Consider the following 15,416-nt stretch of genomic DNA (forward strand, 5'->3'; position numbering starts at 1 on the left):
CTAATATTTGATTAATCGAGGCCGTGAAAGTAATCAACATTTTAAGAGTCTTGACTCTTATGGAAATTTGGCATGTGTATATATATATATATGTGTGTGTGTGTATGTATATCTATGTGTGTATATATGTGTGTGTGTGTATATATATAAAGAACAGTAGGAAAACCAATGAATCTCAGAAACAGGTGCAGTTTTGAAGATTTTATTTTGGATTGTAAGACTAAAATTGGTTGGTTGAAAATACATAGCATTCATACAGATCACTTTAATATTTGTTAGTACATGAGTAAATGAACAAAGCATTAAAAGCTCAAAGACACAATGGATCCCAAAATTGAACACAAGCAATTATTGAAGCAAACAATGCATGCTAGGTGGGGGTTTCTATTTCTATGATAGAATCCAATTTCCTTGGATATAACTTACTGCTGATTTTAAGACTCTTCAGGTGATATTAGAAGATAAAATATAACCCATTTAAAATAAAATGTTAGCTTGGGTATTCAAAAACCATTGTAAAACTACATAGCAATAAAGAAAGGTGATGGTTCCATCACATTTGCAATAATAAATTTATTTGGGCACAACTATAAGACATTGGGAAAATCCCTGTCCTTGTTCATTCTGCATATCCAAGTAAAAACACAAATCTGGCTTACTTGAATATCTGTAATTTATATAGATATTAATTCTAAAAATATTAACAACTGTCCAACAGGCTAAGATACTCCACATTTTCATAAAAAATTCGTATGCCATTATACTACTATTTCAAAATCACTAACAATGTACATTTTTTTACAGATACTTTAAAGTAAAAAAATTGTTCTAGAAATAAAGACTTCTACTTAAGAAGTGGGGATCTTATTCTAAAGTTCCCGTGTAAGCTCACTCCCTGGCAACCTACTAAGCACCAAATTCCTATGAATAATTTACTCAGACTTCTAAAATATTATATTCTTTAATTACAAATTAATGTCTGATAGAACTCAGTCCTTCGTCCACTTGTGCCGCTATTTGTAACAGTATTTCAGAACATAAACTCTCCTGGGAAATCTGCATCATAAAATTTTGGATCTTCAAAATTCATAGTAGACTTCTCAGGTAAGGGCAAGACTAAGGCATGTCACATACACACACACACAAACACACACAAATCCCCTTACACTTAGAAGGAAAAAAAATTCTAAACATACTATATAAGGAACTTCACAATAACATCAGGTGATGCCTTGATTTAACTGATCAAATAACATTTGTCCTCAATATATATTTAAGTACATTAAAAATGAAAATTTTGTAGGTATAAGTTATTATTCTCTCTAAAATTCTGGCCAGTTTTTCTTATATTTCTCACCAAGAGAGAAAAACTTGGCAGCTACTTGTAGTTGGCTGTGGTATGCTAACCAAAAATCTTTGCTGATGCACAATTGCATTTAATTGTAATTATGCATAAGGCACATCCACATAACCAAGCAAAGGGAGGAAGATGTTAGGAAGATATTACTACCTGTGGCTTCCTGACTCAGGGATCAGTTAAGAACATGCTTTATTTTGGTGTGGAGAAGATTCAACTCATCCTTCACCCCTATAAATGACCCATATTATCAAAGGATGCAAAGAGGTCTATCCATATGGGGGTATAAATTATGCTTAGCATTTTAGGGGCCATATGAACGCTATGCTAGTGTTTTCTTAAGAAATCTTTTATGAGATTCGAATTACCCAAGCTTCAAATCCACTGATTTATTTTTCAACATGGGTGAATTCTTTCCAGAAATGTCCAATTGCATCATTATAAATCCAACAAATATTATTAATTTCCCATTATGTCGGGGCACTTTATGTGAACAAAAAGATTAATAAACAATCACCCCTTCCCTGAAGGAGCTCAATGTAGAAGTGGATGATAGAAACTACACCATAATTACTAAAACAGTAGTGTTCTGTATCTGTTAACTAAGTCAACAGATAAGAAACAAACCTGGCCACTTAATGACTGTGATCAAGAAAGCATTTATTTTGATCCAGAATTAATTACTTCATCTATTTTTGATAAAAATTCACAGAACACAGTAACATTTTGATGTTTCCTACCCCATCCAATACCTTTCCTTTAGAAATGTCTCCATATAAATGGTACGCTAGGAAATATACTTTATTCTCTAGTCGTACTCTGAAGTAGCCATTCATGGTTCCTATGACTACTCTAGGATTCAAGTTCTCTTATCTGAAAATGAGAATGCAAATCATTTCACAGATAAAAAGTGTGGCATCAATGCTACTTTTAAAAATCTCATGATTCATTAAAACACTTCATACTCACTGTACCCCAAACCTCTATTAGGTGCTTAAGTGCCTCCAAAGCTTTATCAGCTAGTACTCACATACCACTTACAGGAAACATTTGCACTGTGAAGGGTACATGTTCATGTAGTAAATGCCAAATGTACAAAGCTTTAAATAATTACAACGTGCACACTTAAAACAGATCCCCATTCTCCGGCTGAGTTAAGTACTGCCAATTTTGAATGTGCACTTAACATCTGTACACATATTTTATCTGCAAAACTGACACAATTTCTAAATCACTTTTCACTGAGAGGTAACTAAAATAGAAAATACATAATAAAAAAAGAAAGCAATGGCATGTAGTATATGTAATAACTATTAATTTAAATATAGGAGATAATACTATATGTCATGAATATTAGTGGATGTATATCTGATTGATTGTTTCAGTTAATATGTTGAGTACTTTAACGAAGGAAGTAAAAACAGCAGTACAGAACCTCTGCTGGAAGTCAATACAAAACTTAAGCTGAGGTCATATCCAGTACCTAAGAAAAGAATGATTAAACTTCGTCAACACTTTAAAATGCCATCTCAAGACCAGTTTGAACTTTTCATGAATTAATGCATGCATACTACTAATTCACCTCTAGAGCTCTTCCAGATCTGAAGATTTTACTTTTAAGCTAAAATAGGAGAACTACTTAAATGATGAATCAATATGTTTCTATAGTCATAAAAGTAGTTTCAGTGCTCTTTCCAAGTATCGGCATCTATTAAGAAAGTATAGTATATTGAAATTGCTTTTTTCTCTTTGTATATAAAGAAGAGATTCAGTGAATCTTATCCTTTTGCCATTAGATGAAAGACAGTTCACATATAATTAATGTGGACCCAACAAACTACTTATGTCTGAAGAATATTGTTCATATGGGAAAAAAGAGATTTGGAATAGTTATACAAGTAACTGAGAAACCAATATGCAGTTTTTTAGGAAAAAATCTTGAAATCAATATGCAAAGCTTTTTTTAAAAAAAATCTTGATTTCATTAATTTTTGAGACCGAATTTTCCAGTGCACATGTATGTACTATGAAGATGATATTTTAGGATATGGGCTATATAATACTTTCATACCAATCATTCTGGTCCACAATAAAATACTTTATTTCTACAAGATCCAAACTATCTATTTGGGTGCACAATTGGGTTTATGTGACACAAATCATTGCAATGATCATCTACATTTTCTATACTCTATCATTTTATATAAATAACAAAAATATAATTTTATAACATTCAAGACTGAATTAAGAAATTATTTGCAAAATTTAAAATTTTAAGAAAAAAGAAAAACTGAACAATTGCTACATATTACTTAAATATGTGTTATCCTCCTTTTCAGTTTAAATTACCTTAAAGAAACAATGCTATATAGTCAGCCATGTAGGTCTTTAGGTGTCTAGCTGATTTAGAGGTTTTAATAATCAAGTAAGTTAACATTACAGAGCAAGTGCCTATGACAGAAGGGAAAAGTTCTGTAAGATGTTAGATAATCTCACAACATAAAACTTTAGTTTTTAAAAATCATTATTGGTCTTGCATATGATTCTTCTAATGTAAATGATCATGGAGTTGTTTTTACTCATTTGGTATCATTTATGCTTTGTTCTTCAGGTGTTTTATGGAAACAACACAAGTATTTAGGTTTCCACTTTGTGCTGGGAACTTTCAAACTTTTTCTCCATCTACACTGTTTTCAGGAATTACAATTACATACTTCCATCTGTAACATTCTTTATTTACATAAGTTATTCTCAACAAGAGTGAATGTGGGTTGCTGTATGATTTAATATCTTCCACACTTATTTCTCTGGCCTCTCCTGTTGAAAAATAAAACTCAGTTAATGTTTGTTGAAGCTCACATGTTTTAAATCTTTGTGCTATAAATTATGTTCCTATGACCAATAGGGTGCATCACACCAGAGCATGTTAAAAGTGTAGAATATAGGACCTTACTCAAATCTGCTTAATCATTTGGGTTAAGTGGTATTACCTCGTCCCATCAACTATGACTGGTATTTCAGAGTTCTATCGGGCAATGTATGCCAGAGTGTTCCCAAGGAAATATCTTTGGCTATCTAGTTCACAGGATTTGTGCATGTGGTGACCATATTCAAAATTTTGTGGAACCCTCTCGAATACAACAAATGACTACAATATGTGAGAGAATACCATCAATGGCATGAAAGAATGGTTTACATTTGTATCAATGCTGAGAAGAGTAAGCTAATTCTATCAGGGCCAGTAGATTCTGTTGAGAATATTGTGAAAACGTTGACAAAAAAGGCATTGAACAAATCACCTTGCCATAGATGAATATTTTCCAAAAGCAGTAATTGCTTAATTATGCTAGTAAAAATATGTATTAAAAAAAGATTTGTGAAAGTCTCAGCTGCTTGAAATATTTGATTTTTTGTCCTTAGTTGATTATTAAATTCAACAAATATGATTGTGCCAAAACTAATCAGTTTGAGAAGCACAGTAAAAAAGTGCCAAATATTAGATGAATTCCTCATCTCTTTATATTTAATGTTCACTCTTCTATTAGAGTAAAATAAGTCCTAGATTCTTATTAATTAAATGAGTATTGATTAATTATACAACATTGTTCTCTGAAGTCAGTATATAAGGAGAGATGATTGTGTTTATTGTGCTGACAACAAAAAGGGAGACAACACAGTGAATTTCACACGCCAAGAGTCTTCATGCAGGAATCAAAATCACCTCTCCAACTCCCTTATCTTTTCTCATCACTTCTCCATATGGCACTTATCATTGTTTAGTACACCAGACTCTTTCGTGTCTTCTTGCTTTTGCCCAAACTGAATCCTTAGCCAAGAACATCCTCCTCTTCCCTTCTTCATTCACATCTCCCAGCTTGAGATTCTCATCATCATTTTTTAAGACATGAATCACATAAAAGTTTATCTATGTGTCTTTTCTCAAGAATCAAGGTCAATGTATTCTGTGTTGCTATATAGAGAAGTTGGTATATATTGCTATTATAGCATTGATCTTATTATATTGTAATGCAATGTTATGTGCTTGCTTCTCACACTAGCCCAGACATTTTTCCAGGATAGAGACAGTAGACCATTCATTCTGGAGCTCCACTTGCACTCAGCTAAATCCACAGCATGCTCACAACAATGCTTTTTGAATGAAGGAATAAATTTTTCATTGATTGGACATTAAGATAAATTCATACATGTAAAGTCATCCTTTTTTTATTCATGCACCACAGCATCAACAAAAACACGCATTTATTGAGGGCTTATCTAGTGTTAGGCACTGGACTAATGGCTTTACATTCATTATTTATCTCGTTAATGCTCACAACAATTCTCTGAGGTAGGTACGATTATTACCCCCATTTTAAGATAAGGAAACTGAACAGGAGAGATCACACATTTGCAAATGGGAGTGTCAAGATAAAATCTCAGATCATCTGACTCAAGCGCTTGCCCTCTGAATACACAAAAAAACAGCCTCTTACATGATTGATACGAGGGCTAATAAAATGTTTTGGCTAGTGGCATAAGTAACAAAATATCTAAAAATAATCTCCTATTAACTGCAAAAATAAATGACTCCCCTTCTGAAAGTTTTCACTGCTTTCATCCCTCCCAGCCTGCACTATATTTATTAATGCATTATGCTTGCTTGATATAAAGAGAATCCATTATTTGCTATGGTATTATTCTATTTATATATAACTAGCTCACCACAATATAGTCCTAATTTATCAACTGTCCTACACTTAAATTTTTTTATGATGAATGTATTTTACTTTGCTTTTAAAATCATTTCCATTTGTTTTGTAAGATCATGGAATATAAAATTGGTTGAATTTTTAAACTTATTCCTTGAATAAAAGCAGTGGCTATTGTTTATATTTTAAAATAATGCTTTGATTATCATCCTAATCCTTCATTTAAAATTTACAAAGACAGCACTGATTTTTTGCAAACACCCAATAAAGATACCGCATCCTAAAATTAACTTTTGTTTTTGTGAATGCATATGAAATTCAGTTATATCAATATTATGCCTTTGGTGTTTCTAAATTAATAAGAGAAAGGTAAATTGAGATAAAATTTAAAATTCAATCATCCATAGAAATCACAACAGTGTTAACCTATGGGGCATAGAGATTGACCTTAATGAAAAATGAGGAAACTTTTTAGGGTGAAGAACAGGCTTTACACTTTGATTTGTTTGTTGGTCATCCAAAAACATATGTTTCATTCTCATTTGTCCTTCATTAGATTGTATTTTATTTCCCTATCTCCTTGAACTGGATTTTTTTGTACAATATGTTTTTAACATTAGATTATTACTAACTCTATGTCATGTAGTCTGAATTGGTTTATATTATTAGAGCCAAATTTGAATGTATCTTAATTAAGTATCTTAAAAGAGTATAAAAGAATACTAAATACAAAACTTCCATCCATATTACAAAAGGTATAAGCTAGGGCTTTTATATGAGCAATAATAAATTATTTTCTTGGGATGTTAAAATTATTTCCCTATTTCAAGATTACGTAAAGAGACAACAATATTTTTGTTGCTTCAGATAAGACTCAAAGTTGCCATGATATGAATATGACCATTTATAATACTAACATATTTGCAAGACAGTATGACCTGGACTATTCAAGTTTGAAAAAGAAGTGAAAAACCTTATGCTCTCCTCCTCCCTAGTGTGGGAAATCTGACTTCTCCCTTCAGGTATTACAGAATGCATTTATTGATTCGTTGGCACTTTCATGGACATAAGCAGACAACCACGGTATGCCAGATGCTGCACTAAGTCCTGCAGCCATCCAGACAAATCCCACATTACCCAGCCCACAAGGAATTCAACGACTAGTGGGAAAATAATAATAATAATAATTCTACAACAACTTCTACAAAAATTAAAAAGTAAAAAACTAAGACCATTTTACTTACTGGGGATTTTTCAAACATTGGCCCTTTAAATAATACGAAGCCACATTTACAATATTATTTTTGTCTAAATTTATAAGAACAATATTCCTACTCAATAGAAACACTATTCCTATTCAATGAAGGTATAGTTTTGTGAGGAGATAGCTACAAGCAACTGAATTTGTTATAATTTGATTAATTCTGTAATGGTGTATATGCCTTTTGACTTTTATACTTAAAGACTAATTTTAATGCAACATTTACTGTAAAATAAAATTACCACCCAAACTGTATTTCAACTACATTTAACGTGCATTGACTTTTTGACAGGCTGTTTTCCAAATATTTGAAAACATTTCACAGAAAGACTTCAGTTTTACCTTGTTTTTTGCAATAATCAATTCTCTCCTATTACATATAACTTGAACATATTTATTTAAAAGTATACTGAGGAAAGTAGAATATTAACCTGTAGTTCAGAATGTGACATGTCTGTTCTCATGCTAATACCATGTCTGGTTATTTTTGAGTGTTTTCAGACTGTTGAAATGGAATCTGTTCATTCTGGCTTGAATTCTGGTACATTCAGTAGATGCCAAGCAGCAGTGTACTAGTCGGAATGCATGCAGGTGGCTCTATCAAATAATATTTTTCTAAAATTTTCAGTGAACAGAAATAGAAGAGAAATATATTTCCTCTTGAATTTGCTTATCTTGAATATCAGATGATAGTCTTATAATTTATCCAAACAGTTACATAATTGCTAGACATTTTGTTTTGTTTTGATATGATTTGATTTGGGGACTATACCTTGTTCTTCTGTTTCTTTTAATTGCCTTTAAGATTTATTTATTAGCTTAGTCTGATACATTTCTGGACCAAATATTGTTTATTAGTTTGGAAAAGATCTAAATTCAGTGTTGTTTTAAATCAAATAGCTCAGGTTTCTCAAATTCCAAATAAATGAAATTCTGAAGGAGGTATGGAAATGCATGAAGGAAATTGATAACATTCTGTAGGGGATTCTCTAATGTACTGCTCCTTTAGGACCAAAGGACACATTCCTCCTGCTGGTGGAAATGTTGCTGGCAGATGGCTGAGCTGACAGTCTTCTTCAAATTCTCTTGCTTGACTAATATCATGCTCCTCAAAGTCAGGCTACTTCCCAGGACAGCCTACATTCAATAACTAATTCTTGTGCTCATATAGCCATCTACCCTCCTTGTTGTCACTTAATACAACTCTAAGGGTTCATCCCAGCTTCAGAGCTACCTTGCAAGACATCTGAGGTCTTCACTGTGACAGAATTACTGCTTAACTTCACCCTCGGTCCAATTCTGCTTCTGCCTTTCCATTCTTCCGGTGTTAATCTCCAGAGTGCATACTAAAATTTCTCTTTTTCAAAGCTTGCTTACAGGGAAACGCTATCTGAGACAAGCTCTTTCCAGCAAACTCTAAGAGAGGATCAATTGGCTTTAATGTTACCTAGAAAAACCTAAGTTAGTCTGTGACCTAACATATTAATGAAGAAACAAGCTCCATTCTCTGCCAATAATGTAATACAATCTAAAGTCCGCTTAAGCATGTGAAGGAAGTTGGTTTTTCTCATTCCTTAGATATTCTAATTAATCAAACAATGCAAGAGGGATTTACTTAGAAGGCTATGAAAAAATGGCAATATAGGGAAAAAAAAGTGACAGCTGTTCAAGAGAACCATAATATTTTAGAGCAGATTAGTAGGATTAGAGTGCCTATAGTAAAATCACTGCACATGCACACAATGATCCTTTTTTACCTTGGGCAAAGCTACCAAGTAGTCAATGCTTTTTTTTTTTTCTCTCTCCTCCTCTTTAAAAATATGTTTTTTTTCCTTATGTGTCTCTTCCATGGTTAGTTAATAAAAAGGAGAAGGAAAGTTAGAGATGAAGTAGAATTCAAAAACACAAAACACACAAATTTGAAGAGGATGGTAGTTTTAAGTTATATTATTCAGTTCCTTTATCTTAAAAATGAAAGGTTTCATATCCTGAATAGCTAAGTTTTAGAAATGGTACGAGAGCTGGGTGCAGTGGCTCAAACCTGTAATCCCAGCACTTTGGGAGTCCGCAACGGGCAGATCACTTGAGACCAAGAGTTTGAGACCAGCCTGGACAACAAGGCGAAACCCTGTCTCTACAGAAAATATAAAAATTAGCCCAGTGTTGGTGTGGTGGCACATGCCTGTAATCCCTGCTACTCGGGAAGCTAAGGCATGAGGATGGTTTGAACCCGGGAGGCAGAGGTTGCAGTGAGCCGAGATATTACCACTGCACTTCAGCCTGGATGACAGAGCTAGATTCTATCTCATTAAAAAAAAAAAAAAAAAAAAAAAAAAAGAGAGAGAAAGACATGGTACTAGAACTAGAAGTTGGTATTAAAAAAAAAACAACAAAAAACTGTGTTACTTTATTGCCAAAGCTTTTGGACACTAAACTTGCATATTTTTACAAACTGCCCTCAATTTTTTTTTTTTTTTTTTTAGGCAGAATCTGTGTTGTGCAGACTGGAGTACAGTGGCTTGATCTTGGCTCACTTCAACCTCTGCCTTCTGGGTTCAAACAATTCTAGTGCCTCAGCCTCCCAAGTAGCTAGGATTACAGGCATGCCCCACCACACCCGGCTATGCCCCCAATTATAAGATCCTGCAGTATTGGGGGGGTAGATACCATATGAAAATATTTTTGTGGCAGTTTGAAACGTTCTATGAAGAAGTAGGTATAAATGTGCCTTTTATAGTAGTAGGTAAAACCTATAATAAAAAAAATCGTACATGAGTGTACCTGCTATATTTCATTAACATGCTATCACTTTTAATTATTTCCAAGTTTGGGTTTTAGTTTTGACTATGGGGAACATATACTGACAATTAAACTTCTTGAATCACATAACTAATAATAGAACACTCCACCATAGAAAAATATATGCACTATTACTTTTTTATTACACATTTTAGGTGTCAGTTTTATTAAGGAAAACAAATATTATTAATAATTTAGAAATGTTACTAATAAAGAATCATTTTATAATTGCAACAAGGCATAGCATACCATGAGGTAAAGTTGATTAATATCTTTCTATGCAGATGGGAGGCAACAAAGAAGTGCATTAATCAAAACTACAGCATTGCTTGTCATGTTCTATTGCTTAAGTATTCCACAGATCACTCTAGCCATTAAATTCTCAATAAATCTAAATAACGTGTTGTATTAAATTAATTCACTTCTTAGGGAACCGGTTCTATAGACATTAATTGTATATGTGTGGACTGAAAATGTATTTGCCTCAGAGTTGTTTGACCATTTACAACTCAGGCCATATTTATATTGCCTGCTGTTGGCCTGTTACAAATCACGCAATACACACTATTTAGAATATAGCCATACTCTATGAGAATAGATTGCACAAATCATTTAAGCCTCGGAGTGGAAGACACAGTTCTCATCTTATGAGTGACTATTTTTGTGCATTTGGAATGCATCAACTAGGCTAGGCTGAACTACATAGCCTAGTATTCCTTTCTCTGTCTGTTTCCAATTAGAATGGGCTACAAGAGATTCTTGTGTGATATTTAGAAGGTGGAAGTGAGGCAACAGCCATGTCATAGCTCCAACACATTTATGGGTTGGCTCATCTCCTTGGTGAGGGTTAGTACGTGGCTTGCAAATGCTCAATCTGCCCATGTCTGTTTTCATCTTCTCATTTTCCAGGGCCAGTTCTGTGTTTAGCTCCATGACAAGGGCACCAACTTCTTCCACAGGGCACCCAGGTCAGTAAGCTTAGAGGCAATGAGAACTGCCTGCTTCTGCTCATGTGTTCCAGCTTGTCCTTGCTCTATCTCAGTTTATATTCTTCTTTCTTCCAACTGACTGTTTTAAACTCCAGCATCAGATGGGAAGACAACAACCTTACAGAGACTGCCTAAGCAGATCAGACAAGTGCTTAATGTCAAATCCCTATAACAATCCCTATTTCTTTTTCTTTCTGTCTCTCTCTCTCTCTCTCTCTCTCTCTCTCTCTCTCTCTCTCTCTCTCTATATATATATATATATATATATATATATATATATAAATATGTGGAGCTTCACTGATAAAAGCTATCCTAAAGTTAAGCAAAAGGGTTTAGACTTTAGGGAAAGAAGGCAAAAATACAAAACAAAAACAAAAGAAAAAGCTAAAACTTTCACTGGTTTCTTCATCCTGAAGGTAATCAAAGAAATGTCCCACATCTACAGATAATCCTGAGGGATAGTAATTATCATGTATAACTGAATAGATATTTACTTTTCTAAAGCAGAAAGTTTCAAACATTATTTTATTGCAAATCTGTATCAGTAAATTTACGGATAGACTATAGTATATGCATATTTATTTTATGCATTATTCACATGCAATCATATCTATCTCTATATTAACATTTTACAGATGTTTTTAAATTTTTAGATACAAGTAACTAGATACTAAAAGACCAGAATTTTCTCTCTATGCCAGATTTCATCTTGTGCACCCAATACTACTTGTATGCCAATTATTTAGGATGGGGCAATTTTTAATTTTACAGACTAGTTCATAAATTGGTATGCCTGCTCTTCACTAAATCCCAGTAGATTTCTCACCTAATCATTGAAATAATCAAAAGCATCCTTGATGTCTATTTTTCCCCTAGGTTAGCAGTACTGCACCTAGATGAGATGCTAACACTGATATAGAGATCCACATAAGAACAGCTAAGGTGTGGCAATCTGATCACATTTGCTTGTAATTATATTCCCAGCTATAGGTATACTCAGTTGGTGGGGTTGTTCCCATTGATAAAATGTATGTTCTCCTTCATTTACAGAGTCCTCAATGAACTAGACATTTCATGGTATAATGGCACTAACATAATGCACAAATTCAAAACGAGTTGAAAAAAGAATTGGGTGCAGGGAACACACAATGTTAATTGTAAAAATTGTAAAATATGGTAAGAGTCTCAGTAAAACGAGGAAAACTTTCATTTTCCAACTCATTGTTATAGCATTATGCGGAACAAACTTCATTTCCCGTGTTGCAAGTAAGTTAATTCTTTTCATCAATTAACCTTTGCTTGAGGGTACCCTGGTGAAGCAAAACTGCAAATGACTTTTGTAGCAACCCACATTCAAATCCAAAAGCATGATATGGTCAAATTTTGTGTTAAAAATACACACAAAATTTACAACTATGTTTATAAATTTTATATAGTTATGTTTACAAAATTAACCAGTGTTTTATTGTATAACAAGAACAAAATCTAAATAACAATTACAATTGCCTTCCAAAGCACAGGAACAACATATATAATTATTTTGCATAAATAATCAATTTTAAAACCCACTGAACTCTGCATTTTCTGGCTCAAAAGATAATTATAATTTATAAAGTAGTTCCTTATTATGCAATTCATTTAACTGTTCTTGTAAATATTTCTGTTGCAAATGAAATTTTATTGGTTTATGGAGGAGAAAAAAAATAATGGCAAAGTTTTCTAAACTTTTGGCTTAAAGTCATTTCCAAGATATATTTCCACTGTCAGGATTTATCACCAATTTTCATAATTGATGTTTCATCTATAATACCACAGCTTTTTTCATACGATATAGATAATTAGCTAGCCCTCACTTCCAGCTGATTATTTCTGTCCTCGGAGGAACCTCATGGTATAATAGACAAAATGTCAAGAGTAATTAGGAATAATGATGGTGGCAACTATGCTATCAAATGACATGCATCCAGGACTGATTATTTTATGCCTTGCCTTTGAAGAAGCTATTTAATGCTTTAAAAATACCTATGCTTTAATTTTTCATGATGCAAAAATAGCAAGATTCTGAAAAATAACAGAATGCCTCTATATTTATATATATCATGCCCACTAAGCCTGGGTTAACTTATTCATTTTCATATTTAATGAGGTAAAATCAATCCAGCCACAAATACCCTGCAGACTTAGCAGATTACAGTATTCTTGCATAAGAATAATTTTGATGTCTTCCATATGATCTTTTAAAAGCTAATGTTACTATTTATCACACTGTATAAAGTCAATAAAAATAATGGTTTTCTTTAGCTTTGTCTGGGATTTGATACATTTGTCTTTATGATACTAATATATGTGTTTTTACTTTTTAGGTAACCTAACTTTTCCAGGACATTTCCCAATAGTGGTTCCACAAGGTGATTTAGCTGAGGAGAGAAAAGCAATGTGTAGTTTCATGTTATTTTCATTCTAATTCACCTAGTGTTATTTCTGCCAAATTATATAGAAACCATTTATGTTAATCCTGTCATACACTGTGGATCATGAAGAAATTACCATTTACATTTAAGACTGATAAATAATTATCAAAATATAAATGCATTTCATAATATCATGTGTATCAAATCTCATAGTATCTAGCATAATACTTTTATTTGCACTTCCCTACAGTTTTGAAAGTGTTAATATTGTTACATTACTATTACAATAACCTCTTTGGTCCACTTAATGTCTCTCTAAGGAAATGCAAGAATTTTGTCTAATATTATAAGTAAAAACCGTGTGCTTCAGAGGATAAATGATTTATCTAAGGTCATACAGTTAGTACATATAAATACTATTAAAAATGAAAGCCAGTCTTTTTAGAATTTCTATTATATTAATCCAAATCCTACTCCAACTCCTCTAATATCATATTATTTGTAGAAGAAAGTCAGATTGATAAACTTTTCAAATATTCTCATTAGTTCACATTGTAAAAGAAAGCTCCTGAAATATAACTATTTAATTTCACAAAATAAACACCTAAATTTTACATAATATAATGAAACATGAAATTGACAATCCCAGTTTTAGAAGAATCCGGTTATGCAGTACAAAGACAATAGAAGCTTAGAGAAAACCTGTTTAATTCTTTTGTATAACCTTCACTCCCAAAGTCCTGTGCATATCACCTTACCTGTCAATCAAAGTCAAGTAGTGTTGAATTTATGAAGTCAATATCCACTTTCGCATCCGGAAAGAGTAGAAATGCAACAGCACATAATGTATCATAAGGTTATCTTTTACTGGTCTCTTAGATTCCTGAAAGATTTGTCATGAAAAAGAAAAGGACACAAGAAATTTTAATGAAGGGCTGCTGCTCAGTGACGCTTACTCCTGGGACCATACTGTCTAGAAAACAATAAGGAGAGCTGCTTCTATAAATGTGTAACATCTCTGAAGATAAAGTAATTCACTGCCACCATCTAAATCCATGCTAATCATATAAAAAGGGAGTAAGGCTGAGAGGAAGAGAATCTAATGCCTCATTTAATGAGAAACCCTATTCTTCTCAATCAGTCCATTTCACGCACTATAAGAGGGAGGCTGGTATTGGATTAAGCCTGATGCCACAAAACAGGTTGACAAGATTACTGAGATCCTGAGGACTCAGAAACATGCACAGGAGTAGGAGACTAATACAGATCCCTTTCTTCTCTGTTGCCTGGAAAAGAAATTCACATTACCATAAATGCCACATGTACGCAAGTTGCTTATGCTTAGGATCTGGTTAGAAGGAAGTTTTGAGACTGAAACCTTTACCTATCTTTAGTGTGAGTGCTTTTTTGATTTTGATGACTCAAAAAAGAATACATTTGAAAGTTACTGTAATGATACTATAGATGTCACAGTTACCTTCGGCAGATTTTGCTAATGGTTAATAGTTCTAAAATAGAAAAAACTCATATTAATAAATTAGAAGAACTCAAGGTACATGTTTTTCAGATCTTTATAACATTTTAAGATAATTTTTATATATTTTAAATAATTTTACTGATTAATATTTATGATTTTATGTTAGCTTGATGCTATATAGTTGGAAAGTTAATAATTTACAGACTACTTTGTAGTCTAATGGCTGTACTTGACTTTTGCTACTGCTTGACGGCTAGCAACTTTAATGTTTCTGACTTAAATTAAGAGAAAAAAAAGAGTCAGGTACCTACTCTTGTTTGGTTACTTTTCTGAGGGGTTCTTTTAACGGAATTCCATGAAGTCGTAATGCCGTCTAACAAGAATATTGATTGTGAAATAGAGCCTTGTTCCAT

The 15,416-nt window shown here is 32.8% G+C and overlaps 1 long non-coding RNA gene across 1 annotated transcript; it reads right to left on the reverse strand.

The window, feature by feature from the left end:
• Nucleotides 1–186: 186 nt before the first annotated feature.
• On the reverse strand, nucleotides 187–14,409 carry LOC124903225 (uncharacterized). The gene is made up of 2 exons (XR_007063892.1): nucleotides 14,285–14,409; nucleotides 187–4,174 (listed from the first exon to the last, which is right to left on the reverse strand). It is a non-coding gene; the product is annotated as an uncharacterized LOC124903225 (long non-coding RNA).
• Nucleotides 14,410–15,416: the final 1,007 nt, after the last annotated feature.

This window comes from Homo sapiens, chromosome 13, assembly GCF_000001405.40.
Source record: "Homo sapiens chromosome 13, GRCh38.p14 Primary Assembly".
Taxonomy (NCBI): domain Eukaryota; kingdom Metazoa; phylum Chordata; class Mammalia; order Primates; family Hominidae; genus Homo; species Homo sapiens.